The sequence below is a fragment of the Homo sapiens genome, chromosome 15, assembly GCF_000001405.40.
Source record: "Homo sapiens chromosome 15, GRCh38.p14 Primary Assembly".
In the NCBI taxonomy this organism is placed as follows: domain Eukaryota; kingdom Metazoa; phylum Chordata; class Mammalia; order Primates; family Hominidae; genus Homo; species Homo sapiens.
Window position 1 is genome coordinate 45,251,581 of NC_000015.10, and position 27,791 is coordinate 45,279,371.

The window sequence follows — 27,791 nt, forward strand, 5'->3', positions numbered from 1 at the left end:
GCATGGAATCATGTACAGTCGTGCTGTTTATTGTTTTCTAGGGCATGTCTTTCCAGCACAAAATGATGGTAAATTTTCTGGGTGCAGAGACGGCTCTTACTGTATTTTACAGGCTACCCAGTGCCTAGTCCAGTGGTGGGTAATGCTTACAGGAATGTACCTGTTAGAAGTTCTTACAGAATTCTTTTGTTTTGTTTTGTTTTCTGACAGGGTCTCACTCTGTCGCCCAGGCTGGAGTGCAGTGGCGCAATCACAGCTCACTGCAACCTCCACCTCCAGAGGCTCAAGGGATCCTTCCACCTCCGCCTGCCGAGTAACTGGAACCACAGTCGTGTGCCACCGCGCCCAGCTAATTTTTGTATTTGTTGTAGAGATGTGGTTTCGCCATGTTATCCTGGCTGGTCTCAAGCGATCCGCCCGTCTCGGCCTCCCGAAGTGCTGGGATTACGGGCGGGCGCCACCTCTGCATAAGTCTTAGGCCTGCAAAACAGTCTTAAAAACATATAATATTTAACTTGAGAGGTGCAGTCCTCCTCTACATTGAGGGCAGGCTCAGCGAAGGAGGGCCCAAGACATAAAACTAACCAATGGCAGGAAAGCCCCCATGCCCCACCCAAGCTGCCCCTCCTCCCTCGCAGCTGAGCTTTTCTTTCAGTCCTTCACTGAGGAGCCAGAGGGAATCAATTCCACAAGCTGGGGTAAGTAAAGGTGTTTGGGGGAGGGCAGGTGCCTAATTTACAAATTTTTAAAGAGATCATATTTAAACTAAATGCAGGTAGTTTTGTGCCTAGTCAGGAAGGCCCTAATTTACACAATATAAGTTGGTTATGTGTGTTTAATGAAATTATACTTCAAATGCTTGAAGAGATCACATTTTCAAAAGCAATTCCATGGGGAAGGGAATTTTCTGCAAAGTAAATAAATATCTCAGAATGAACTTATATTCTAATTGTGAATGTCCATGTATTAAATTTGCTTATTCTGAGGCCCAAATGTTTGCTTATTTTGTTTAAAAACTTTACTTGGGATCATTAACATTCATACTAATTATTTTAAATGTAAGTTTTGTTAATTTCACTGATGAGTTCTCTCTGGGGCATAAAAAACCAATTCTTATGCTACATTATAGTCAGGAATTTGAAGGCCTGTAAATTGTTATCTGTTCAGCAATACTTTAGGGTCCGGGTCTTCCCAACTGCCTTCCTCCCTGTTTCCTTCTTACTCAGCAAGCTCAGTGGGGCCTCCCTGGGGCTAAAAGGAGTAGTTACCCTGTGACTCTTTCTTTGAGGGTCCAAGTAGGAACCTTTATAGCCCAGATCCTGGGGCCCTGGGCGGCCCACTGATTCATTTCAATTCCACTGCCTTTCATTTCTCTTCTCCTATCTTACTGCCTCTTCTTTAGCTATTCACAAGAGGAAATAGGATTTTATTTTTCATTATTTATTATATAAAAATTACACATCCAATCTTCTCAATTCTCAGTTCTTAAAGAAATCAACTAAGCCTTCAAAGACTTTTAGTTTTGCGTTTTCCATGGGTAACTGGTCCTAAAAATTCTCCCCATCCCCACAGAACAGAATGACCAATCTTTCAGGCTTGGCCCTGAATTTGTTTTTCAGTTGAGGAGAACAGGAGATGGAGAAAGCAAGTGGAAGACAGTCCATTGCTCTGTCCACAGTGGAGACTGGCACAGTGAACCCGGGGCTGGAGCTCATGGTAATCACCAGTTTAGTTTCTCTCTGCAGAGCTGTGGGCTGCTGCATGGGCTCCTGTAGGGTATTTGGCTGCTCTCAATCCCCATCATCCCTGGCAGGGCTCCATGACTGATCCCAATGCTCTCTGTGCTTGTAGGAAAAAGAAGTAGAGCCTGAGGGAAGCAAGAGGACTGACGCACAAGGACACAGCCTGGGGGATGGACTGGGCCCTTCCACTTACCAGAGGTACTGGTGTTTTGGAATCTTGTTCAGTTAGGAAAGGATCTAGGGTGGGCTGCCCCTTCAGGCAGCTTGTGGTATTATCACAACCGCTCCACCTTACCATGTGTACATATATATATGTATCTTACATAATTAATTAACTTAAACATGTGCCATAAACTCCATAAAAAAAAAGGAGTTCAGCAGTATCAGTGTTGGTTGGACTGAAAATAAAAATAATAACAATGGTAATAATGGCTAACAGATTTTGAGTGTATACTTACTATTTTGCAGATTGCTTTATGTTATACATTTATTTTCATTACAACAGGTAGGTATTCATTTTAATCCCTTTAGAAATTAATTTACCATATCATTAAAAAAACAGTAGCTCTTCTGGAATACTCAGATTTGGGAATGGTGGAGAGGAAGGGAAACCTGGGGAGAAAACACAGAAGGACTTATTATAAGGATAATAAAGACAGTAAAAAAGATCTTAGAAGTCAAAAGAGAAGAGTCTCAAGAATGAAGAAGGTACAGTCCACAGTGCTATGTGAACAGGGGTCTAGGAAGGAGGAGTGAGAAAAATCTTTGAATTTGTTTGTGGATCTGGTCCCAGAAGTAATGTCAAAGAAAATTGTTTGAGTAAAATAGATCATATGGAAAGAAGCAATGTTCCATGGTCTGGAAAACAGTGGGTATTTATAAAAGAGTGCAGAAGTCATACACTAAAAGCTGAGAAGAGGACATTGGATAGCTTCTAAAGGGAATACGGTCATGAGCTACATAATGATGTTTCAGTCAATGATGGACCGCATTATACAATGGTGTATAATCATGTATATCAACGGTGTATATCATTACACAACGGTGGTCCCATAAAATTATAATACTGTATTTTTACTGTGCCTTTTCTATGTTTAGATATGTTTAGATACACAAATACTTACCATTGTGCTATAGTTGCCTACAGTATTAAGTACAGAAACATGCTGAACAGATTTGCAGCCTAAGAATAATAGGATCCACCATATAGCTTGGATGTGTCGTAAGCTATACCATCTAGGTTTGCATAAGTACACTGTAAGATGTTAGCATAATTATGAAATTGACTAATGTTGAATTTATCAGAATGTATCCCTGTTGTTAAGTAACACATGACTATATATGGAGATGATTCAGAGCAGCTTCCAAACAAAAGGTTATTTTTATATTTTCTTCTCTTTATTTTTGAAAGTTACCTCAGTGACTTCTTAAAATTTTTAATTGTTTTATTCACAATTTGCTTCTCTCTAAAAATTTTTATATTATCATGTTTTATATATACTGAATTGACAGTAAATTCTTTGTAAGTTTTTCATGCTTACATGATATTTCATATTTTACTTAGCAGTGTGGCCGTTAATCATGTGAGTCACATTGCTTGTGTCTATATTTGAACAGTGGTATGCTAGTAAATGTTTAAGAATTGACTCTCCACCGGGCTAGTGGCTCATGCCTGTAATCCCAGCACTTCGTGAGGCTGAGGTGAGAGGATCACTTGAGCCCAGGAATTCAAGACCAGCCTGAGCAACATAGTGAGACCTGCCTCTACAAAAATTTTTAAAAATTAGCAGGGCATGGTGGTGCGTGCCTGTAGTCCCAGCTATTCCAGGAGGCCGAGGTGGGAGGATCACTTGAGCCCAGGAGGTTAAGGCTGCAGTGAGCCATGATCGTGCCACTGTACTCCAGCCTAGGGGACAGAGTGAGACCGTCTTGAAAAAAAAAAAAGAAGAAAGAACCGGCTGTCCACATGTAGTTTTGCAATGAATGTTGGTTAATATTTTTGCTCACCTTAATGAGGAGTAAGACCAGGGGTTGGCAAACTTTTCCTGTAAAAGATAAGGTAGTAAATATTATTGGTTTTGTGGTTGATGTGGTCTCTGTTGCAATTATTAAACTCTACCATTTTCGTAGGAAAGCAGCCACAGGTGATACTAAACAAATGAGCATGGCTGTGTTTTGATAAAACTTAATTTTTAAAAAGAAGGTGAGATGAACTTGGCCCACAGACCACAGCTTGCTAATCTTTAGTCTAGATGAAATAATAAATTAAGACCTTATTTACAGTATTCGCCTGTAACGTAAAAACTCTCAACATGGCTGATTTCAAGTAACCAAAGGGTTACTTGAACAAGGAGTTGGGAAGAGATGTATCATTATATAAAATTTCCACCATACACATACAGCAGACATGAATAACTTCATGAGCTCACATGACAGAAAAATGTAGCAAAATAATTAGAAAATGATGAGTTTTTAGTATTTATTACCTTTGTCTTTAATGTAATTTAATTATACGTTTATATAGTTTTAATTTTTAGTAATGGCTTGCACAATTCCTGAAAATGTAACAATCACTTCTCTCAAGCCAGCGCAGGCCAGCTTCCCCTGCACCACTGACTCTAGCACTTACCAGATTTTGGGCAAGTTATTTACCCTCTCTAAACCTCAGTTTTCACCCTGTAAAACAAGAATAATATTAGTACTTAGCTGAAAGGATCTTGGTAATTTTTTTTTGCCAGACTGTTGTTGGCACCTTAAACTGCTCTGATATATAACATGTCCAGTTCCCTTCAAGTCTTATCGACCTTATATTTTCTCATATAAACCATGTTAACTAGTTACATAGATATAAAATCATGCCTTAAAGTTCTAACTTGCATTTATTTTTATTTTTTGAGAAATGAGGTCTTACTTCATTACCCAGGCTGGTCTTGAATTGCTGGGCCCAAACAATCCTCATGTCTCAGCCTCCCAAAGTGCTGAGATTACAGGTGTGAGCCATGTGCCTGACCTTAACTTGCATTTCTTTAAATTTTTGTAAAGCTACACATTTTCCTCCATTTGCCTTACTTTCCATATTTCTACGTGTGATTTTCTTTTCTTTTTTTTTGGAAACGGAGTCTCACTCTGTCATCCAGGCTGGAGTGCAGTGGTGTGATCACTGCAACCTCCACCTCCCGGGTTCAAGCGATTCTCCTGTCTCAGCCTCCCGAGTAGCTGGGATTACACGTGCTACCACACCCAGCTAATTTTTTTTTTGTATTTTTAGTAGAGATGGTGTTTCACCATCTTGGCCAGGCTGGTCTTGAACTCCTGACCTCAGGTGATCTGCCCACCTCAGCCTCCCAAAGTGCTGGGATTATAGGCGTGAACCACTGTGGCCGGCCTACTTTTCTTTATCAACTAAAGTAAGTTCTGGATTTTGAACCTCATTTCCTTTCTCCTGACCAACTCTAATAGAACCCACATAGATTTCTTGTTTCCAGTTCTCCCCACCTCCTGCCAATCTATCCTATATAGCTTCTACCAAAACTACCTAAAGTATGTCTGAACTCCCTTATATCACAAACCTCTGTAGCTCTCCAGTTGCTCCTGAACAAAGCCAAACTCCACAGCCTGGTATTCAATTCTCCCCAAAACCTCTTCCCCACAACCAGGATCTGTATCCAACTTGACTTTCCAACATTAACTCTTGCAATTCCCTTTCTAATGCCACCCTATGCTCTAGTGAAAGTCAACTATCAACTGTTCCTTATATGTAATCCCCAGTTTCCTGCCTCCATGTCATGCATGTCATTACATCATTGCTTATGAGTGTACTGTCTTCATTTTTTGTCTTTGTGCCCAAATACAACACATATTTTAAGGCTCAACTCAAGAGCAATCATGTCCATGAAACTTTCCCTGATGCTGCCTCTCCTCCCCTCAACCTCACTGGCCCCAGTACTAAAAGGTCCCTTCTTTCTCCAAACTTCCATAACATTCTATCTGACCCTCTCTTATAACACTTTAAGCTTTTGACATTTTGTTATAGACTTACATGTATATTATATCCCCTATACTGGACTGTAAATACATTGAGGGCAAGATCAATGTCTATTTCATCCTTTTGTCTCCTATAACACTGGAAACAATGCTTTACCCATAGTTTATACTTAAAATGCCATAACATTCAAAATTCAATAAATACATGTTAATAAGTTATGTATATAATCTAGATAACAGACTTTGTAATTTCTTCATGTGTACATTTTTCAATTCTGTTTTGTTTCTGTATTGATTTTTAAGTATTTATTTCTTTTTCTTCTTGTTCTTTTGTTTGATTAACTCTGATGATCTGGGGTGCTTTGTAGGGAGTAATCTGACATGTAGCTTTAAGCTGATGCTTTTCCATACTGATACCCACTTTTCTAGCAAGTTATTAAATTGTGAGTTCTTTCTCTATTCTGATGTTGCTTCGACTTTATTAAGTTAATGTGATGATTTGGATTTATTTTTAAATCTTTTGTTTCACTGACACAGTTCTGAGTACTTAACACGATATCATTGTTTACAATGTACATTAAAACTTGATGGCTCATGTATTTGCATTAGTTTTTCCTTTAAAAAATATTCCTTGGGGCTGGGCATGGTGGCTCATGCCTGTAATCCCAGCATTTTGGGAGGCCAAGGCAGGCAGATCACTTGAGGTCAGAAGTTTGAGACCAGCCTGGCCAACATGGTGAAACCTAGTCTCTACTAAAAATACAAAAATATGTGGGCATGGTGGTGGGCACCTGTTCTCCTAGCTACTCGGGAGGCTGAGGCAGGAGAATTTCTTGAACCTGGGAGGCGGAGGTTGCAATGAGCCAAGATCATGTCATTGCACTCCAGCCTGGGCAACAGTGAGACTCCGTCTCAAAAATATATATACTATATATTTTTTTTGTCAAATTTTATTTTATTATTATTATTCTTAATTTATGTTTTTGGGACTGCATGCCATAGTTTAACTGGTACAGTTTTTTTTGCCTTTTTAGTGTAATGTTTAATAAAGCATAGCATGCATACAGAAAAATAAACATAAGCCTTAATGAATTTTCACAAAGTGAATACAACCATATGACCATCGACCAGATGAAGAACCAAAACATTATCTGTACCCAAGAACCATTTTATGTTTCCTTTCAGTCAGCCTCCCTAAGGGTAATCATTATCCTGACTTTTAGCATCATAGATTAATTTTGCCTGTGTTTGGACTTTATATGGGAAGTCTAATTTATACTTTAAATGAAAATATACCATATATATACTTTTGCTTCTTTTGCTTTACATTGTGCTTTGGAGATTCTTCCATATTATTGCATATATTGTACTTTGTACATTTTTAATTGCTGTATAGTATTTCATTGTAAGAATCTACCACAGTTTATCTGCTCATTTTACTGTGGGTCTGAATTTTAGTAGTTTCTATGCTTTTGCTATCATAGTGCAGCTATGAACATTTTTGTGCATGTCTTTTAGTAAAGATAAATACACCTTTCTACTGGGTATATACTTTGGAGTGGAATTGCCATGCTATAGGGTATGTGTAGGTTTATGTAGCTTTAACAGATGCTAAACATATTTTTAGCAAATTTCACTCCCCTGGCAGTGTTATGAGAGCATGTCTTTTTTCATTGTCTCCATTGTATGTGTGTAGTATTATCACATTGTAGCTTTGGTTTGTATTTCCCTAATGGCTAAGGAACTTGTGCATCTTTTCGGCTTTTTCTGGCCACTGAATATTCTCTTTTGTGAAGTGCCTGTTCAGGTCTTTAATTGGCAGTGTTTTTCTTTCTTAGTGTATAAAAATAGTAGTACATTTTATAAATGATGAAATACAAACAAGAGTACATTTTAAGCACTTGCCATTAAAAAAACTAGTATGTAAGGTAATACATGTGTTAATTAGCTTGATGTAGCCATTCCACAATTTATATATATTTTAAGCCATCATGTTGTATACCATAAACATATACAATTTTTGTCAATTTTATTTTAAATTTTTTTTAGAGATGGGGTCTCACAATATTGCCCATGCTAATCTTGAACTATTGGGCTCAAGTGATCCTCCCTCCTTGGCCTCCCAAAGTGCTAGGATTACAGGTGTGAGCCACTGCACCCAGCCAATTTTTGTCAATTTTAAAAAGAAGTACAAAATTAATACCCTGAATGATGTTGCTACCACTGTAAATGATACTTTCATACTTTCTAGCTATCTGTCACAAGTATATAGGCAAATCATTTTTATGAGTTTATCTATCTACCTATTCTTTTATTCAGCAAACACTTATTGAACATCTATTATGGGCCGGGCACTTGTTAGCGACCTAAAGCAATAATAGTATGTGCTAGGTACTAATTTAGGCACCAAGAATACAAAGATAAAAACAGAAATGCTCCTTTCCCTGATATGCTCAAAACCTAATAAAGACAGGTAAACAGAAAAATGACAATATCATGCTATATGGTAAGTGCTATATGGTAAGTGAGTTGTGGTCAGGAGGTGATGGAAGAAATCTTTTCTAGGCATGCAATTTGTATCTACTCTTGGACTAGTCCAGCCTGCCTCTTACTTTGCAGGAGGCTTACTCAACTGGCATTTGACTGCATATAATTTTAAACTAGCTTTATCTAGTACATCGGTTTAGGTCCCAACAGGAAACAGATGGCATACTTAAATTAAGATAATTATAGGAGAATTTATTTACAAAGAGACCATTACAAAGATATGTATGAGGTATGGTGACACCATAAGAAAGGATAATGCAAGAAGCAAAAGTCTTGAAGCAGTGAACAGTTACTATTCGTAGGCCTGAAGGAATAAGATGTAAGAGCACCTGGCAGGAGAGTCAGATAAAAAGACCTCCTCAACACACTGACCTGTCTTTTCATACACTCTGATCATCTGTGGAGGTCCCAGTAGCAGAACCCAACCTGATAAGCCAGAGGACATGGGAGTACATTGATGTAGTTTACATGAGTTAAATTCCCAGGGCACAGAGTGGAGTGGAGAGTGGTGCTGGAGGAGCACACCAAAGATATCTGGCACACATGGGAAGGCCAGGATTGAAATTAAATTCATTCCTTGATATACTTTGCAAATGATGTTCCAAAGATAATGATGTCCTCAGGTATGCTGGCCCTTTTACTCACTACTTTCTCTATTAAGCATGGAAAAATGAGGAAGGATCACTTGAGCCCAGGAGTTTGAGACCAGCCTGGGGAACATAGCAAGACCTCATCTCTACAAAAATTTAAAAAAGAAAATTAGCTGGGCGTGGTGGTGCACACCTGTAGTCCTAGCTACTCAGAAGGCTGAGGCAGGAGGGTCACTTGAGCCTGGGAGTTCAAGGTTGCAGTGAGCCATGATCATGCCATACCACTGCACTCTAGCCTGGGCAACAAAGTGAGACCTTGTCTCTTAAAGAGAAGAAAAGCAAAGCAAAGCAAAGCAGAGTTCTTGAGATCCTAAAGAATCATCTTGAGTTGATCCAGTCAGATGGTGATAAGCATTGTTTCCTCCTTTCTCAGCTTACCTGTATCTCATAGTACACACTCTGCTCAGCTAACACAGGGTTGGGCTTCCTGCAGAAGGGACAGGAGGGGATGGGGGCAGGAATGAAAAGGAAGACTAGGAACTGGGAGTGTGTTAGATGGGAGGGGCAGCCATGGAACTCCATGGGCCAAAGCCCCAGGGCATTAGGAGTTAATGGCTGGTCCTAACCCTGGCTAAGCTGCCCTGCCTCAGCATGACTGCCAGACTGGGACCTTCTTGCTGGGATCACCTTCTCTGGAGCTCCCAAGATTTTGGAAATTAGAGCTTTTGGCTCAGATGGCTGCAGCATGCTGAGCATACTTAGGAGTGGAAAAGACAGGCAACCCTGGAATCTAGGGAAGATGTGGCATAGAATGATGGTTAAGAGCTCAGATGCTGAAGCCAGAGTGTATATTCTGTGTTCGCTCCTTACAGCCTGTATGACTTTGGGAAAGTTATTTAACTTCTGTTTTTCAGTTTCCATACTGTAAAATGGGAATGCTAATAGTAACAGCTCCAGGGGTCTTAAGAGGAGTCAATGAGTTAGTATTTGCTAAGTTCTTAGAAAGAGCTCAGCATAGAGAAAGCACTATATACATGTTTGTTAAATCAAACTTGAATATCCCTACTTGCTGGGCCTCTTCTCTCAGGCCTGCACATCCAGAGCAATTCTTGAGGTTGGTAGCATTTTCCTTCCTGTCTGTCAATGCACATTTGGCTGACTGTTCAAGGCCATAGGTTTGTTTGGTTTTTAGGGAGGGATGGCCAAATTGCCTCTAAGAAGAACAGGCCCTCTTGTGAATATGGAAGCTTAGCAATCCTCTGTCCTTTCAGAATGGGAAAGGAAAGTAGTAGACCCCTGACATGAGCAGTACCCACTTCTATGGTAGGAGACTACCAAGGATATTGCTAGTTCGGGCTGAGTAGGGTATTCTGACCTGCTGCCCACCAGCAAGGTTTGATTTGCCCTTTTTGGCATTGCAGGACACTACCTAACTTCCTCCTGGCTGAAGAATATTCTTCATTGACTAAGAGCTAATTCTGCCTTGTGTTAGGTAATCTGAATTCTGAGAGTTGAATTAATAGAAATGGGATGGAGTAATTCTTGTATCTTAACTTTTGGGTTCTTATTAGGAGGAGTCGGTGGCCTTTCAGCAAAGCAAGAAGTTTCTGCAAAACACACGCCAGCTTGTTCAAGAAGATCCTGTTGGGCCTGTTGTGTTTGGGTGAGATATTGAGAATTCATGAAAGTGAGAAACACAGTTATTTTAGAAATTTGCCTTGTGTCAAGGTGATTACCAGGTGGAAGGCATTTTTATTCAAAACTGATCTAAAAAGCTATTTGATGTATCAATCTTAACTACTTGTAGGTGCACCATAATGTATTGAATTGCACTTGTAGGAACAAGTGAAATCTGAGAATAAACTATTTTTCAAAAGTGTACTATTTGATGGATTTAAAATATTTCAGAGAATGGGGGCTTATCCTTTTTTTAGTGGCTTGATTTGGTGGAGTGCATGATTCTTACAGCCTTGATGACAGAAGCCTGTATTATACCTTACTTATTTGCTGGTTTACTACTATATCATTGGATATAAAATATTCTTAAAAGACAGCAGATCTCTGTTTAAAACATACTGTCAGTGGTATATGGGGCTTTAATGTCAAAATAGGAGGCACCTGGGATGGTGGGAGCAAAAATTATATTTTGGGATGAGTAAGAGAGCCATGGGATGAGGTCCACATGGCTGCACTTCCCAGTGGTAGCTTTGTTTACATGGTTTGTTCCAGAGGCAAGGTTAAAGTGACTGGGGTAATAAAGTTTCAAGGGGAGATGACTGACTTTTGAAGAGTCTAATGGTGAACACTGATCAAATCTACTCCAAGGGACAGAGAGAGGATATTAGATAAAATAGAAGGGAATGAGATTTCATTAGGGACCAGTGAAAATATGCAGTCTTTGCATTAAGTCAGACTGTCCTTGGGGATCCTCAAGAAGAGGACAGTTAGACATCTATCCTGGCCTCAAGAAGTGCAGTTCTGTCTGACAGTAGGGCTGGGTGGCAAGGTCTCTGGAGGGTTTTTCTTGCTCTAAGTCCCAGGCATTCATGACTGGAGTTTCATTTGCCCATTGGAAGCACTGCCTTGCTGATCTTTACTCTGCTTCTTCTCTTTTTAGCCTATGCTGCCTATCTCCTGGCAGCTTGCATCTTGAATTTCCAGAGGGCACTGGCCTTGTTTGTCATCACCTGCTTGGTGATCTTTGTCCTGGTTCACTCGTTTTTGAAAAAGCTCCTGGGCAAAAAATTAACAAGATGTCTGAAGCCCTTTGAAAACTCCCGCCTGAGGCTTTGGACGAAATGGTAAGATAAGAATCTCAATACCTGGCCTCACAGCTTATCCCAGCCCACCTCCTTTTTTCTCTTTTGATAGTTGCTGAGCAGGCTCTCAGACCTGCACATAGGCTTTTCAGAACCAAAGCGCAGAGAAAAATAACAATAGGCCTCTGAGCACAGGACCTCAGTCCAGATTCTTGTAGCCTTGGGTCTCAACATTGCTGGGGGGCAGGAGGAGTTTAGTTTCAGAGAAGAGTTTTAGTCTGATTGTCATCAGAGCCAGTGTCAGAAATGAGAAAAATCATACTCCTCTTCAGTGAAGTAATCAGAACAGAGCCTTGCAGCTACATTAAGCTATCAAATTGATTTGGTGGTCATTGGTGTCTCCCTTAGTTCCCTGATACTTTTTATGCTTTTTTTCTCTCTAGTCTCCTAGACTTCCTGCACCCACTGGTGCCTTTTAAAATTCCTTAGAGTTTAAAGAGAAAACTTACAGTCGTGTATATTCTGAACTGGCGTCTACAGCAGCCACAGCTCTAACAATGGCACATGCATGGCCTTTGATCACAGGCCAGGAGTGAGAGAATAACTTTCAGACTCTCTGTAAGTTATTTGTTTTTCATTCACTGGGTTGATGACATGGTCTTGGCATTCCTTCTTCAGGGTGTTTGCAGGAGTCTCCTTGGTTGGCCTTATACTGTGGTTGGCTTTAGACACAGCCCAAAGGCCAGAGCAGCTGATCCCCTTTGCAGGAATCTGCATGTTCATCCTTATCCTCTTTGCCTGCTCCAAACACCACAGCGCAGTGAGTTTTGGGTATTTGGGTTGGGTATAGCAACACATGGCCAAGGGCCAAGTGCTAATCATAAAGCGTATGCATCAAGTGTTAATTACAAGGGCATAGAACTAGTTCATAACAACCCCTAGAATTTGCCTCTTTGATAATTTTGTTTCTAAGATAAGTTTAAAAAATTCTCAAAGGCCCTAGACCACTTATTTTCAAACTGTAGATTGTGATCCATTAATGAATCTTGATACCAATTTTGCGAATCTAGGCCAGTGTTAAAGAAAGAACAAAAGAAAAAAAATAAGGAAGGAGAGAAAAATAGAATACAGTAGAAAATCAACACGCAGTGCAGATAGTACTGTTAAAATATTGATTTATAAAACTTTTATTTGTATGTATGCATGCATATATGTGTGTATAAGTGTCATCTAACCTCTAGACACATTTTTTAAAAACCTTATGAACATATGTGGCTTTTTGTATATTACTGCCCTGTTTCTCCCTACCATTGCCCCTGCTCCCTATGCCATCAGACCCTAGACTTACTGTTAATATTCTAGGTTGGTTCCACCCAGAGTACATGTTTAAAACTCCAACCAGGTAATGGACTAGCAGAACTCACATTGAAATAATATTCTTATTGATCCTAGGTGTCCTGGAGGACAGTGTTTTCGGGCCTAGGTCTTCAATTTGTCTTTGGGATCTTGGTCATCAGAACTGATCTTGGATATACTGTATTTCAGTGGCTGGGAGAGCAGGTCCAGGTATGAGAAATTAAATGCGAGGGCTTTTCTCTTTTAGAACCCTAGAGAAAGGAGATTTGAGAGGAGCATGAGAAGATTAGGCTGTATCTTGTTAATGATGTGGTGGAAGATCTGGTTGGGAAAGGAGAGAGTGTACTAGGATACAGCTAAGAATATGAATAAAGAGCTCATGGGGACATAGCCTGCCCCTGGGCTGTCAAAGGGAGGCCAACCTCAGTAGCAACAGTAGGTCCTCAGGACGCATGGGGCTGGTCTCGTCTTCCTGTGTGTCCTTTTGGGTTTCATTCTTATTCTCTGTCTTTTTCTTTTTTTCCCTTCAGATTTTCCTGAACTACACTGTGGCCGGCTCCAGTTTTGTCTTTGGGGATACACTGGTCAAGGATGTCTTTGCTTTTCAGGTGATACCTATTTTATGGGCAGGAATGATGGTCTATGGAGGGGTAGAGGAATAAAGCAGAGGATGAAAGTGTGTGTCCAAGAGATCAGCGCCCCTGTATACCAATTTGACCCTAACAAGAGGGTTTAACCCCATCAGTAAAGGAAATGGCATCTATCTTCTTCCCTGTGGTCATTGCCATCATAAAATTAGATGAAATGAGAATTGGGGGAAAAGGGTCAGAAAACAGCTTGTGGTTTAGTACTGGTGGGACAATGGGTTTAATACATTTTAAATGTATCCCTAAACTAGTTTGTGTAGGTACTGAATACCTACACTGTATGAGATACCCTTGGAATGCTAAGAGCTTAACTTAGAAGCCTAAAACACAGAGTATGCAATGTAACATCTCACCACCTGCTACCATTCTCATTACAGGCCTTACCAATCATCATTTTCTTTGGATGTGTGGTGTCCATTCTCTACTACCTGGGCCTTGTGCAATGGGTAGTTCAGAAGGTGAGTCGTTCTCTTACACCAGTCAGGAGACAGGCCTTCATCCTGTCATCAGTCAGCTTTGGAAAAATGCCCATAGCTAAGGTCTAGAGTGTTAGAAACAATGGGAAAAGGCAGGCCCTCTCAAGCATGCCTGATAGCAAACTGTCAGCCGAGGCCCTAGGTAGGCTGAGGGCAGAGCAGAGAGAAGATGAGCTGGACTGCCTTTGATACTGAGTTTTAATGTACTTGTTCTAAAGGCAACGAGTCCTGAGTTCTGGTCAAGGCTCTGTTTCTAAGTTGGTTTTTGGCCCTAGGCTTGCTGCTCTACTTCTCTAGGCCTCAGTTTCCTTATCAGTAAAGTGGAGGAGGAGGAGTTTTGCGAGATGTTCTCCAAGATTCCTGCTAACATTAATGGTTTAGGTTTCTGTATTCTTCTAGGTCGCCTGGTTTTTACAAATCACTATGGGCACCACTGCTACAGAGACCCTGGCTGTGGCAGGAAACATCTTTGTGGGTATGGTAAGCACCTTGAGGACTTTTGGTCTTCTTCCCTCTGAGGAACTGAGAATTTGGCACAAAACAAGAGTATGCTTTCCTTCTGAAAAGTCAAATAAATGAAGACTGTGGGGCAGCCAATCTTGGATGAGAGATAACTCAGCAGCTCAAAGAAGACTCTGCTCATTGCGTTCACCCTTTGCGCCTAATAATACTTCCCTGGTAATACTTAATCTGGAGGGATAGCCTTCACCACTTCTAATGAACACTTCCTACGTAGGAATGTAGGGAATGTCCTCGTCCAATTCATATCCCCTTTCGGAGGCTATGAAGGGTGTTTGATCCTCATTCTGGTTTCTCCCTGTGACTCCCTGCAGTACTTGGTTTCCAGGGTCTCTAAGGAGGAAATCACTTATCTTGCTCATCGCTAACGCCCAGGCTCTTCCCCATAATACTTGCTTGGTACATTCGTCTGTATGGAGTAGGTGCTCCATATGTGCTACTGACTGATCAGCTCAATGTTGGGGACAATGACTTGTCACATTCGCAGGGAGTTAGTACTGAGGTCTTTCTCTCCCAAGGCTCTAGGCTGCTTCTGAAATGTTCTCAGAGTACTTCTGGATACTTTACCATAGCACTCCACATTTTGCTGAAATTATCCATAATCAGCCTAGTTTCCTATGTGAGACTATAAGCTTCTAAGAGTAAGGACTTTGCCTTACCTATATCAATGTCCTTAGCATCTAGTGCAGTGCTAGGCACATAGTTGGTACTTGTTAAATAATAGATACCATTATCTTAGGTCAGTGCTGGATATGGCTTACATAGATGGCCCTTCATAATTTCATAACATTTTCACAAACATTATTTCTTTTGATCCATAAGCAGGGGGTTTGGATCATCTATTTGTATTTCATTTAATGAGTACTGTTTAAGCATCTAATATGTTCTCATTAAGTGCACTGCATTCCGTAAGTTCAGTAAGTGTGTGGCTTTAGACATTGAGAATATACAAACAAAATATACCATTTCTCTTCTATAACATTTTAACATGTCAATAGATGAAACAAGCATGTATAGAAACAGGTGAGAACTATGCCAGCCAGGACATGATTGGGTGCCAGAGGAAGTAAGGCAGAAGCTGGATGGGCCTGACAGCCGGGCTCCGTGCTCACTAAGTGAAGCTGTGGCTCACTTAACAGTGCTCACACTGGATGGATGTGTATCTAGTGGGTCCAGCCCCTGGGGCTGGGGTGGGCACACTGGCATGGGGAGTTACACCTTCTTGGAATCTGACTGTTTTCTCCGTGTTTGTAGACAGAGGCACCTCTGCTCATCCGTCCCTACCTTGGGGACATGACACTCTCTGAAATCCATGCGGTGATGACTGGAGGGTTTGCCACCATTTCTGGCACTGTGCTGGGAGCCTTCATAGCCTTTGGGGTAGGCATAGTCTGCTTGATCACTCCTGGGTGAACTCGAGTTGGGTTTGATAGAAACACTGATGCCTAAGTCTGGCGCCTCACAGGTTGATGCATCATCCCTGATTTCTGCCTCTGTGATGGCCGCCCCTTGTGCTCTCGCCTCATCAAAGCTAGCGTATCCGGAAGTGGAGGAGTCCAAGTTCAAGAGTGAGGAGGGGGTAAAGCTGCCCCGTGGGTGAGTCCAAGGAGGCATATACTTTGGGAGATGGTGAGCTGTAGTTAAGAGTGGCACTGTGGTGGCAGAGACTTCAAGTCTCCCTGAGGGGGAATAATGTGATTCCATATTCCTTCTTGCCTATCTCTGGTGCTTGCTAATCATGCTGGTTTTCTTCATTTAACCCTCCCACCTGGCACTAGCTTCTGCATGCCAGTACCCTCTGTCCTTGCCATCCATGCAATTACATGACAATTATATCTGATATTGCTTCAGAGTAATTTCCACTAATAGGGTCACTGAGGAACCCCTGTCACCTTCTACATTGGCCTTGCACCCTCCTCCTGCACGATAGGGACAGTGGGATTTCTCTTCTCTGAGGGGCTGAGACTGCTGTAGACACCCTACTCTTGCCCTCTGCCCAATAACCACAGGAAGGAGAGGAATGTCCTGGAAGCTGCCAGCAACGGAGCCGTAGATGCCATAGGCCTTGCTACTAATGTAGCAGCCAACCTGATTGCCTTTTTGGCTGTGTTGGCCTTCATCAATGCTGCCCTCTCCTGGCTGGGGGAATTGGTGGACATACAGGGGCTCACTTTCCAGGTAAAGGATTACATTTGTTGGGCTGTCCCTCTGGGATGTGGTTAGGTAGCCCTTCAAACATGCATGTCCAAATCAAAACCACAATGAGATACCATCTCACACCAGTTAGAATGGCAATCATTAAAAAGTCAGGAAACAACAGGTGCTGGAGAGGATGTGGAGAAATAGGAACACTTTTACACTGTTGGTAGGACTGTAAACTAGTTCAACTATTGTGGAAGTCAGTGTGGTGACTCCTCAGGGATCTAGAACTAGAAATACCATTTGACCCAGCCATCCCATTACTGGGTATATACCCAAAGGACTATAAATCATGCTGCTATAAAGACACATGCACACGTATGTTTATTGCGGCACTATTCACATTAGCAAAGACTTGGAACCAATCCAAATGTCCAACAATGATAGACTGGATTAAGAAAATGTGGCATATATACACCATGGAATACTATGCAGCCATAAAAAATGATGAGTTCACGTCCTTTGTAGGGACATGGATGAAATTGGAAATCATCATTCTCAGTAAACTATTGCAAGGACAAAAAACCAAACACCACATGTTCTCACTCATAGGTGGGAATTGAACAATGGGAACACATGGACACAGGAAAGGGAACATCACACTCTGGGGACTGTTGTGGGGTGGGGGGAGGGGGGAGGGATGGCATTAGGAGATATACCTAATGCTAAATGACGAGTTGATGGGTGCAGCACACCAGCATGCCACATGTATACATATGTAACTAACCTGCACATTGTGCACATGTACCCTAAGACTTAAAGTATAATAATAATAAAAAAAAAACAACCATGCATGTCCTTCTGACCCACAGTAAGCCAAGAGAGAGCATGAATAGAAGGGTGGAAGAGATTGGGCCAAGGCTCCAGAGAAGGTCCTTGGCACCTGACCTTTGTTATATTAGTCCTTCCTTTTCCTGTGATATCTCTCTTTCACTCAGGTCATCTGCTCCTATCTCCTAAGGCCCATGGTTTTCATGATGGGTGTAGAGTGGACAGACTGTCCAATGGTGGCTGAGATGGTGGGAATCAAGTTCTTCATAAATGAGTTTGTGGCTTATCAGCAACTGTCTCAATACAAGAACAAACGTCTCTCTGGAATGGAGGAGTGGATTGAGGGAGAGAAACAGTGGATTTCTGTAAGTGACAATCCAAAAAGCATAAACACCGTGAGGTCTCAGCCATGGTTATCTGAGGGTAGACAGAAAGTGCCAAACAGGTTTGTTGCAGACCTGCAGATGCCTTTCTGGGGTCGCAGGCCTAACTACAAAGCCAGCAGAACAGCCTACCTAGCAGCCTCATCTGCAGCGCCTGAGCTATTATGGGTCTGCATGCTATTTTCCCCCTGCCACCCCCACCACTGCCCCAACTGTGACCCAACTTCTCTCTATAATGTAATTGCTGGGTCTTTACAGCTGGGGCAGTCCAGGGCAGACACTATCTTTTGATGGTCTAAGGTCCCCTTCTTCACTTATAAGTTTAAATTGCTCCAAATTAATATTCTTTTTCTTTCCCTTTGCCTCTCTCCTCCTCCTTCGCAATCCTTCTCATTCCCAGGCCTTCTCGTTATTCATAGCCTTCAACAGGAACAGCGTTGGGCAATGAGGCCCATGGTGGTTTCCATGTCATTATCCCTATAGTAACTCAGGGAACAGTTGTTTTCTGAGCATCCTTTCATGTTCCTTGGGAAACCATGGAAAAGACTGGGGGCTGTCAGTACTCTGGAACTTCTATTGTGATTATAAGACCGCACGCATGGGACTGAATTTATTTGCTTATTTATTTTTGTTTTCCCTAGGTGAGAGCTGAAATCATTACAACATTTTCACTCTGTGGATTTGCCAATCTTAGTTCCATAGGAATCACACTTGGAGGCTTGAGTGAGTTCATCCATTTTCCCAGCTCCCCAGTAAGACAGCCAGATCCCAGCTTCTGTAGTGGGCAGTCCTGGTGCTTCAGTACAAGCTGGGATCAGATAGAGAAGCCATTGTGAAATGGGCCCATTTCTTAGGCTGCAGTTAACTTGGACCTAAGGCAGTCATGCCCACCTGGCTAATGCATACAGCCCTTTATAATCTCAACTTCAGTTACTTCTTTTTCCTTTGGATTGGAGGCCCCAAAAACTAATTTTATTTTAATTTTCTCTATGAGGAAGAAAATATAATGATATTATTTCAATTTTGCCATTAAATTGGAATAGTGCATATATAAATAAAGATATTTATTTATTTATTTATTTAATTTTTTTTGAAACAGAGTCTCACTCTGTTGCGCAGGCTGGAGTGCAGTGGTGTGATCTCAGCTCACTTAAACCTCCACCTCCTGGGTTTAAGTGATTCTCATGCCTCAGCCTCCCGAGCTGGGATTACAAGTGTGTGCCACTATGCCCATTATTATTATTATTATTTTTTTTGTATTTTTAGAAGAGACGGGGTTTCACCATGTTGGCCAAGCTGGTCTTGAATTCCTGGCCTCAAGTGATCTGCTGCCTTGGCCTCCCAAAATGTTGGGATAACAGGCGTGAGCCACCACACCTGGTCTTGTATTTTATTCAGTAGTGAAGACACTTTTTGAAATTAGGCTGCTCACTAGTCATCCTCATGGAAACACAAAGAATTAAAACAAATAAAAGCAGCAGGCACATAAGGCAGATAGACAGTAAGAGAGAGTGGTGTAAAGTGTTGGATTTAAATATGCAAGTACCAAATGTTAAAGGAGTGGGTCTTTGAAGCAGACACAGATATATTTAGACTGTTGGAGATACTGCTGCATGGGGGTGATTGTTGGAGGAATAATATGAGGAAAGTGGAATTGTCCTTGAGTGCAGGGGCACAGGGGTGACTAGCAGATCCCAAGTTTGGAAGATCCAAGTTAGAAATGGATCTTAGGCTGGATGTGGTGGCTCATGCCTGTAATCCCAACACTTTGGGCCAAGGCAGGAAGATTGCTTGCTATAGGAGTTTGAGAGCAGCCTGGGGCAACATGGTGAGATTCTGTCTCTACGAAGAATTTGAAAGTTAGCTGGGCATATTTGCACATATGCCTGTAGTCCTATCTACTCGGGAGGCTGAGGTGGGAGGATTGCTTGAACTCAGATCGAGCCTCCAGTAAGCTGTGATTGCACCACTGCACTCCGGCATGGGTGACATGGGGAGGTCCTGTAGAAAGAAAAAAAGAAGAAAAGGAAGGAAGGAAGGAAGGAAGGAAGGAAGGAAGGAAGGAATCTTAGAAGGAGTAGATTATAATAAGAAATATAGCTCAGTGTGTCCCTTTTTAAAGGCAATTATATTCTGGGGTAGAGTCATTTAATTCATGTACTTGGTAGCCAATTTAATTGAAAGGTGAAATAATTCCCTTTCAGTTTACCTTTTCCCCTTCTGTCAAACACCTGACTGTATTGTTCTAGTCTTGATGCCTGATTACTGTCCGATTATGAGACTGCCATCTAGTAGTGGGATATGCATTGTGTGGCTAAGTCTTAGGCCACACAATGAGTGTTGCTTTCCTTAGCCCTCTGTCTCAAAATAGTCCATCTAATTCTGGTCCAGGCTTAAGAGTGCGTATCTCAAGCAGTGAACGCCAGGCATTTGTACCTGTCTGGAGAAACCCAGAGCCTTGCTTTATCCAGATACATCTTGGGTATGTTCACAGAACCATTAAAGTGAGGGTCAGACACTCAATACTTGATCTGAGGAAAGTCTAAGTTAGTGATCCCTCAGGACTAATGTATACACACACTTCTTAGGGCAACACTGGCCAGTCTCAGGTGGATGGTAATAAGGATGCTCTTCATCGGCTGTGTTTTGTTTCTCTGCGTTCTTCTAAGTGGGGGCCCATGGGATATACCTGATTGCCTTGGTGGGGAAAAGCTGAAGTTATTTTATTTTATTGTCTGCAGCATCAATAGTACCTCACCGGAAGAGTGACTTGTCCAAGGTTGTGGTCAGGGCCCTCTTCACAGGGGCCTGTGTATCCCTTATCAGTGCCTGTATGGCAGGTAGGTGCCTCAGCTCTGATGGAGATACTGCTGCATGAGGGTGATGGTTGGAGGAATAATATGAGGAAGGTAGAATTGTCCTTGAGTACAGGGGCAACAAAGATTACTTCCCTAGATCATGACAGGCTGTCTTTCAGAATATTGATTTACCCATGCATTCCACAGATACATGGCAAAGGCACCTAATCAAGAGTGTCCACAATTCGTGCCAAAAGAATAAAGAGCCTTGAGAAGCACGTGTCAGATCTTCCCCTTAGTACCTCTGTCTCCTTTATCCAGGAATCCTCTATGTCCCCAGGGGAGCTGAAGCTGACTGTGTCTCCTTCCCAAACACAAGTTTCACCAATAGAACCTATGAGACCTACATGTGCTGCAGAGGGCTCTTTCAGAGGTGAGCACCAGGACCCCATTCCTTTCTCTCACACACGGCCCTCAGGTCTCCACGGTAATGCTGTTGAGGTTGCATAGAGTGTATAAGGGCTGTGAGTATTGGTAATGGCCTAGATCAGTGTTCTTTTCTCTTATTGGGTGCATCTTCATTATTAGCTTAGTATGCTCCAGCGACAGGGTCTACCTGTGTTAGTGGGCTACTGAGAAGTAGAGCAGCAAAGGAAGAAGAAAAATGGTTTCCCTGATAAGAAATTACTCTACTGGCTGGGCACGGTGGCTCACACCCACAATCCCACACTTTGGGAGGCCAAAGTGGGAGGATGGTTTGAGCCCAGGAGTTCGAGACAAGCCTGGGCAACATAGCGAGACCCTGTCTCTATTTTATATTAATTAAAAAAAAGAAATTACTTATTGTGATTGGAATACAGGTAGGTTATACGTAGACTTAGCAATGGTTATAAGTGGCTAAAATATTATAGGCTTCTTCAGACAGAAATGAAGAAAACTGAGAGAGGATAAAGTTGAATTTATAAAATCATGATGAGTTCAGGTAGTGTAAAAATGAACTTGTTTACCAAAATCTAGAATATGAAAAGAAGAGGATATGTCATTAAGCTAAAAGAACTAGTTTTGGAACACACAAAAGGAAAGATTTGAGGAACTAGAATGTTTGGTGCCTTCAAATCAAAAGGTGTGTGTGTATTGGTGGTGATATATGCGTGAGTGAAGGGAGTTGTGGGAAAAAAGGCTGAGAGATCATAAGAAGCCTTGTATGAAATACTAAAGAATTTAGGTTTTGACCTGCTGAATTCTGAACACTGGCATGATCAACTATGCTGTTTCAAAATATCATTTTGGTAGCCATTTGAATGGCAAGGAGACCAACAAACACCCTGCTGTAATAGTCCTAGTGAGAGATGGTAAGAATTGATACTAAGTGGTTGTGAGGTTGGAGATACACTAGATCCAGTAGAATCAATAGGATTGATCATTGGCTAGATAGGAGGAAGAGGTGGGGTGAAGAAGAGGAAGGAGTCTCAAGTGACTATCTCTTTTCCGGCATAAGCAAGTGGGTCTAAGGAGTGCCATTCATTCACAGAAGAGGAGGACTAGTTTCAGGAATGGGAGTAAAAGGGAGAGATTATGGCTTAATTCAGTTTTTGTTTTTTATATTTATTGATTTATTGTATTGAGATGGGGTCTCACTATGTTGCTCAGGCTTGTCTTGAACTCCTGGACTCAAGGGATCCTCCCATCTTGGCTTCCCAAAATGCTGGGATTATAGGCCTGAGCCATCATGCCCAGCCTTAATTCAGTTTTTGATGTGTTAACTTGGAGGTAGTTGCAGGACCACCCTGTGAAGGTACTCAAAAGCCACCTCAGGTCGGGCTTCAAGAGAGAAATCAGAGCTGGAGATAGATTTAAAAGTTATGGGCTAGACACAGTGGCTCACACCTATAATCCCAGCACTTTGGGAGGCCAAGGCAGGAGGATCACTTAAGCTCAGGAGTTCAAGACCAGCCTGGGCAACATGGCGAAACCCCATCTCTACTAAAACAAAACAAAACAAAACAAAACTAGCCAGGCATGGTGGTGTGTGCCTGTAGTCCCAGCTACCTGGGGAGGCTGAGGTGGCAGGATCACTTCAGCCCAGGAATTAGAGACTGTAGTGAGCCGTGATCCGTATCACTGCAGTCCAGTCTGGGTGACAGGGTGCAAACAAACAAACAAACAAATAAAGATTTGGAAGTTATTAAGTGGTCTGTTCACTACATAGCTAGATATTCAGGTGCTGGCTGCTTAAAAGGTTACTGGGCCAAGTGAATGAATGTTGCCCCTCCTGTGTTTGGAGGTTATCATCAGAGAAGGCAACTAACATATTTTTTTAAAAATTCTTTTGATGCACTATTAAAGATGAGGTATGAGCTGGATTCATCATTGCTCTGGCATCGTTTTGATTCTTCTTTTTTTTTTTTTTTGAGACACAGGCTCACTCTGTTGCCCCGGCTGGGGTGCAGTGGCACAATCTTGGCCCAGGCTCAAGCAATCCTCTTACCTCAGCCTCCTGAGTAGCTGGGACCACAGGCCAGGCATGTGTCACCATGCCTGGTTAATTTTTACTTTTTGTAGACATGGGCGTTCATCATGTTGCCTGATTCTTATGTTCTTGTGGCATTTTGGTGGATTTTCTAAAGCCACATACTGAAGATCATTGAAAGACAACGTTTTTGTCCAATTAATTTATACTAATTAAGTGTAAGCTGTTTTCAAGAGGAAGGTGGCCTTGGAATACCACCTTACTTTTCAGAATCAATTCAATACTAAATCATTATAAGCCATACATTTGCCTCAGGGATATCTGGAAATTTCCAAATGGACTATGGTTAGGAGTTGCGCAAAGGAACAGACACACATGGTTTATGGTTTCTTGCTAGTATTATCTTGGGAATGAATGAGAAAAGAAACATAATTGGGTTCTATTTGGTCATGGCTGATGGGTCAATTTACAGGTTTTTGTTTTTGTTTTCAGCTGCTTAGTATAACTTATTGATATGTTTTGTTGCTTTGTTCCTGTCTGACCCCTTATGTACCTCTCTGGTTTTTCACTGCAGTACTTCTCTGAATGGCACCAACCCTCCTTCTTTTTCTGGTCCCTGGGAAGATAAGGAGTTCAGTGCTATGGCCCTTACTAACTGCTGTGGATTCTACAACAATACCGTCTGTGCCTAAGGCTGCTTGATCTATTTCTATAACAGTTTTGATCTTAAAAGCTTTGTGATTGCAAAGGTGTTTATGTACTCAGGGTGCCCACAACTCACTCACCAAGATGTTTAACAGTAAGTAACAGTAAATGTAAAAGATTCATTTTGGGCCGGGCTCAGTGGCTCATGCCTGTAATCCCAGCACTTTGGGAGGCCGAGGCGGGCGGATCACAAGGTCAGGAGATCGAGACCATCCTGGCTAACACAGTGAAACCCCGTCTCTACTAAAAATACAAAAAATTAGCCGGGAGTGGTGTCGGGCGACTGTAGTCCCAGCTACTCGCGAGGCTGAGGCAGGAGAATGGCGTGAATCCGGGAGGCGGAGCTTGCAGCGAGCCAAGATCGCGCCACTGCACTCCAGCCTGGGTGACAGAGCGAGACTCTGTCTCAAAAAAAAAAAAAAAAAAAAAGATTCATTTTGGTTCGCTGTATCCCAATAACGAAAAATAGCTTTTGTTTTTCCATTATTTGGCTGAACCAAAAAATGGCATTCCTCATGGGCCCTGCCTGAACTTTCATTTGAAAAAATAAGTATTACTGTCCAACAATGATAGACTGGATTAAGAAAATGTGGCACATATACACCATGGAATACTATGCAGCCATAAAAAATGATGAGCTCATGTCCTTTGCAGGGACATGGATGAAATTGGAAATCATCATTCTCAGTAAACTATCGCAAGGACAAAAAACCAAACACCACATGTTCTCACTCATAGATGGGAATTGAACAATGAGAACACATGGACACAGGAAGGGGAACATCACACTCTGGGGACTGTTGTGGGGTGAGGGGAAGGGGGAGGGATAGCATTAGGAGATATACCTAATGCTAAATGACGAGTTAATGGGTGCAGCACACTAGCATGGCACATGTATACATATGTAACTAACCTGCATATTGTGCACATGTACCCTAAAACTTAAAGTATAATAATAATAATAAAAGAAAAAACTTCATAAAATAAAGTGAAGCACCCACCAAAAAATAAAATAAATAAAATAAATAAATAAAAGAAAAAATAAGTATTACTATGTCAAAAAAGTCTTACAAATCATGCTTCTAGTTGCCATCTTAAAAATTATGTGATGCAGTGTGCTATAAATGTGATTTAGTATGTAATTTGCCTGGGACGGGGGAGAAGCTACATTTATTGGCATTGTGGATGAGCTGGATTTATATTACTGATGTTACCTTTGAAAGGTATATGAATATTTAATGATAAGATTTTTCTGGTTGTCAAACATTTGTAAATCTGCAAACTTCTTAACAACATTACACAGTAAACAAAAAATACTTCCTGTATACTAAGGAAGACTTCTAAGGAATATCCATTTCTTAAAGGCCATTACTTTGTTGTAGTATTCTGCTTTAGTGCTAGCCACATTTGCTCCAAGTTTATGGGGAAGCCTTTAAAACAGTAATTTTCAGTGGGAAGGGGCCAATTTTGCTTTTCAGAGGACATCTGACAGTGTGTCTCCAGACATTATTGGTGATTAAAGTGGGAGGATGCTACTGACATCTAGTGAGTAGAGGCCAATATTGCTACTAAAATTCCTATAACCAAAGGTCAGCTCTCCCACAACGAAGAATTACCTGGTCCCAAACGTCAATTGTGCTGAGACTCAGAAACTCTGATTCAAAATATTTTAGATATTTATTATATTTAATATTATTTATTATATTAATATTATAGCCTTAAGGAAGGGTTTCAAAAGGATACAGGAGTTCCTCAAAAAGTTAAACACAGAATTACCATAGAGCCCCACAATTCCACTCCTACATACACATTCAAAAGAATCAAAACTAAGTTCTCAAACAAGTACATGTACATGCATGTTCACAGTAGCACTATTCAAAATAGCCAAAAATTGGAAACAGTCTAAATGTCCATCAATGGATAAATTGTGTTACATACACACAATGGAATTTTATTCACCCATTAAAAAAAGAAGTACTGATTTATGCTATGTAGAGGCACCCCGAAAACATGCTAAACGAAAGAAGCTAGACACAAAAGTCTTATTATTGCATGATTCCATTTAGATGAAATATTCAGAATATATAAATCCATAGAGACAGAAGGGAGATGGTGGTTGCCAGGGCCTGGGGAAGGAGGGATTAGAGAGTGACTCCTTAACGAGTTTGGGGTTTTCCTTTGGGGTGATGGGAATGTTTTGGAACGAGATAGAGGTGGTGGTTGTGCAACATTGTGAATATTATGTCACTGAATTGTTCACTTTAAAATGGCTGTTTATGTTATGTGAATTTCACCTCAATAAAAAAAATTTTTAGAAGGATTCAGGTACTTGGCTGAGGCAGGAGAATGGCGTGAACCCGGGAGGCGGAGCTTGCAGTGAGCCGAGATCCCGCCACTGCACTCCAGCCTGGGCGACAGAGCGAGACTCCGTCTCAAAAAAAAAAAAAAAAAAAAAAAAAAGAAGGATTCAGGTACTTGTATCTTCCCTTAGCTAATCTACCTCCTTCAATTTCCCAATTCTCTCAGCTCAGAACCACTTGGTCGTCTTCTCAGTCTCGATTCCTATCTTCTCTCCCGTTTTCCAAACTTGACAGAAAAAGGAAGCTTCAATAAATTGTTTCTTGAACTACAGATGAATTTTACTCTATGCCTGGTTTATTTCTGAGAGGCAGCAGAATGCAATGGTTACTGGTATTGGACATGACGCCAGATTACTTGAATTCTGATTCAAGCTCTGCCAGTTATCACTAAGGTGATTTTGGACAAGTTCCTTAACTTCTCTGTGCCTTGGCATCCTCATCTATAAAATAAAGATAGTGAGACCCACCTTATAGGTAAAGACAGTGACACTGCTGTAAGGGGATTATCTGTTTTCTGTTGCTCATAACGGAATACGTGAAACTGGGTAATTTATAAAGAAAAGGAGTTTATGTCTTAGGAGGCTGAGAAGTCCAAGGTCAAGAGGCCACACCCGGTGAGAGCTTCTTGCCAGTGGGGACTCTGCGGAGTGCAGGGGCAGTGTAAGGCATCGCATGGTGAGGGGGCTCAGTGTGCTAGCTCAGGTCTCCTCTTATAAAGCCACCAGTCCCTCTCCGTGATAACCCATTAACTCATGAATGGATTGGTCCATTCCGGACGGCAGAGCCCTCATGACCCAATCACCTCTTCAAGACCCCATTCTCAATATTGCCACACTGGGGAACAGGTTTCAACATGAGTTTCCGAGGAGGCATTCAAATCACAGCAGGGAACAAAACAGTGACTGCTCGCTCCAAGTCTAATGTAAGGTTAGCTATTACTATTAGCTGTTACTAATAGCATTACTATACTTACTATAATACCATAGTTAATAGTATTATAGATTATAGTAGTAATAATACCATTACTATCATTTAGGAACCTGAGTTCATGGCTATCGATTTGTTGAGTAATGTATGAAATTCAGTTCACACAAGGAAGCATGAGAGAAGGGGACTCTATCTCCCTCCAGGGCGGGGGCCAACTTTTTAATTCGGTTTTTAAATTCTCAGGTTCCTACTTAAAGTAAACCTGGCCTAAACTCTCCCTCTTAGAGGGCTTCGCTGTAAATGCGGGAAGCATGCCAATCTCAACACCAGTGTCTGCAGAACACTGTCAAATGCAGGAGGGAACAGGAAAAACAGGAACTCACTGTCTCCTCGATAAACGCGACGGGGCGAGAGGCGCTCCCAGGCGAGGGCGGAAGTGATGTGAGAGGGTGTAGACCGCCCTGGTTGGGTGGAAGGGCCAGTCAATCCTGGGAGGCCCAAAACGGGGACCAATCGCTCTTGGGCTCCGCCCTGGAGGCGGGGAAAACACGCCCACCA

The 27,791-nt window shown here is 41.7% G+C and overlaps 1 protein-coding gene and 1 long non-coding RNA gene across 2 annotated transcripts, besides 1 other annotated feature; one reads left to right on the forward strand and one right to left on the reverse strand.

The window, feature by feature from the left end:
• On the reverse strand, positions 1-27,642 carry SLC28A2-AS1 (SLC28A2 antisense RNA 1). Its single transcript, NR_120335.1, has 5 exons — positions 27,617-27,642; positions 4,372-4,418; positions 3,750-3,787; positions 2,286-2,354; positions 1-492 (listed from the first exon to the last, which is right to left on the reverse strand). It is a non-coding gene; the product is annotated as an SLC28A2 antisense RNA 1 (long non-coding RNA).
• Positions 654-26,266, forward strand: SLC28A2 (solute carrier family 28 member 2). Its single transcript, NM_004212.4, has 18 exons — positions 654-698; positions 1,620-1,716; positions 1,852-1,940; positions 10,435-10,526; positions 11,481-11,664; positions 12,301-12,442; positions 13,075-13,188; positions 13,509-13,586; positions 14,003-14,083; positions 14,501-14,581; positions 15,875-16,000; positions 16,086-16,216; positions 16,630-16,798; positions 17,758-17,955; positions 18,615-18,696; positions 20,715-20,813; positions 21,093-21,204; positions 23,816-26,266. The coding sequence occupies exons 2-18, from the start codon at positions 1,636-1,638 to the stop codon at positions 23,931-23,933; spliced, it is 1,977 nt and encodes a 658-aa protein (NP_004203.2). The 5' UTR covers positions 654-698; positions 1,620-1,635; the 3' UTR covers positions 23,934-26,266.
• Positions 27,370-27,539: an enhancer, noted in NCBI's record as "active region_9354". NCBI's record gives its function as "activates an Ori minimal core promoter by ATAC-STARR-seq in GM12878 lymphoblastoid cells {active_cell/tissue: GM12878}" and the evidence as "EXISTENCE:reporter gene assay evidence [ECO:0000049][PMID:35858748]".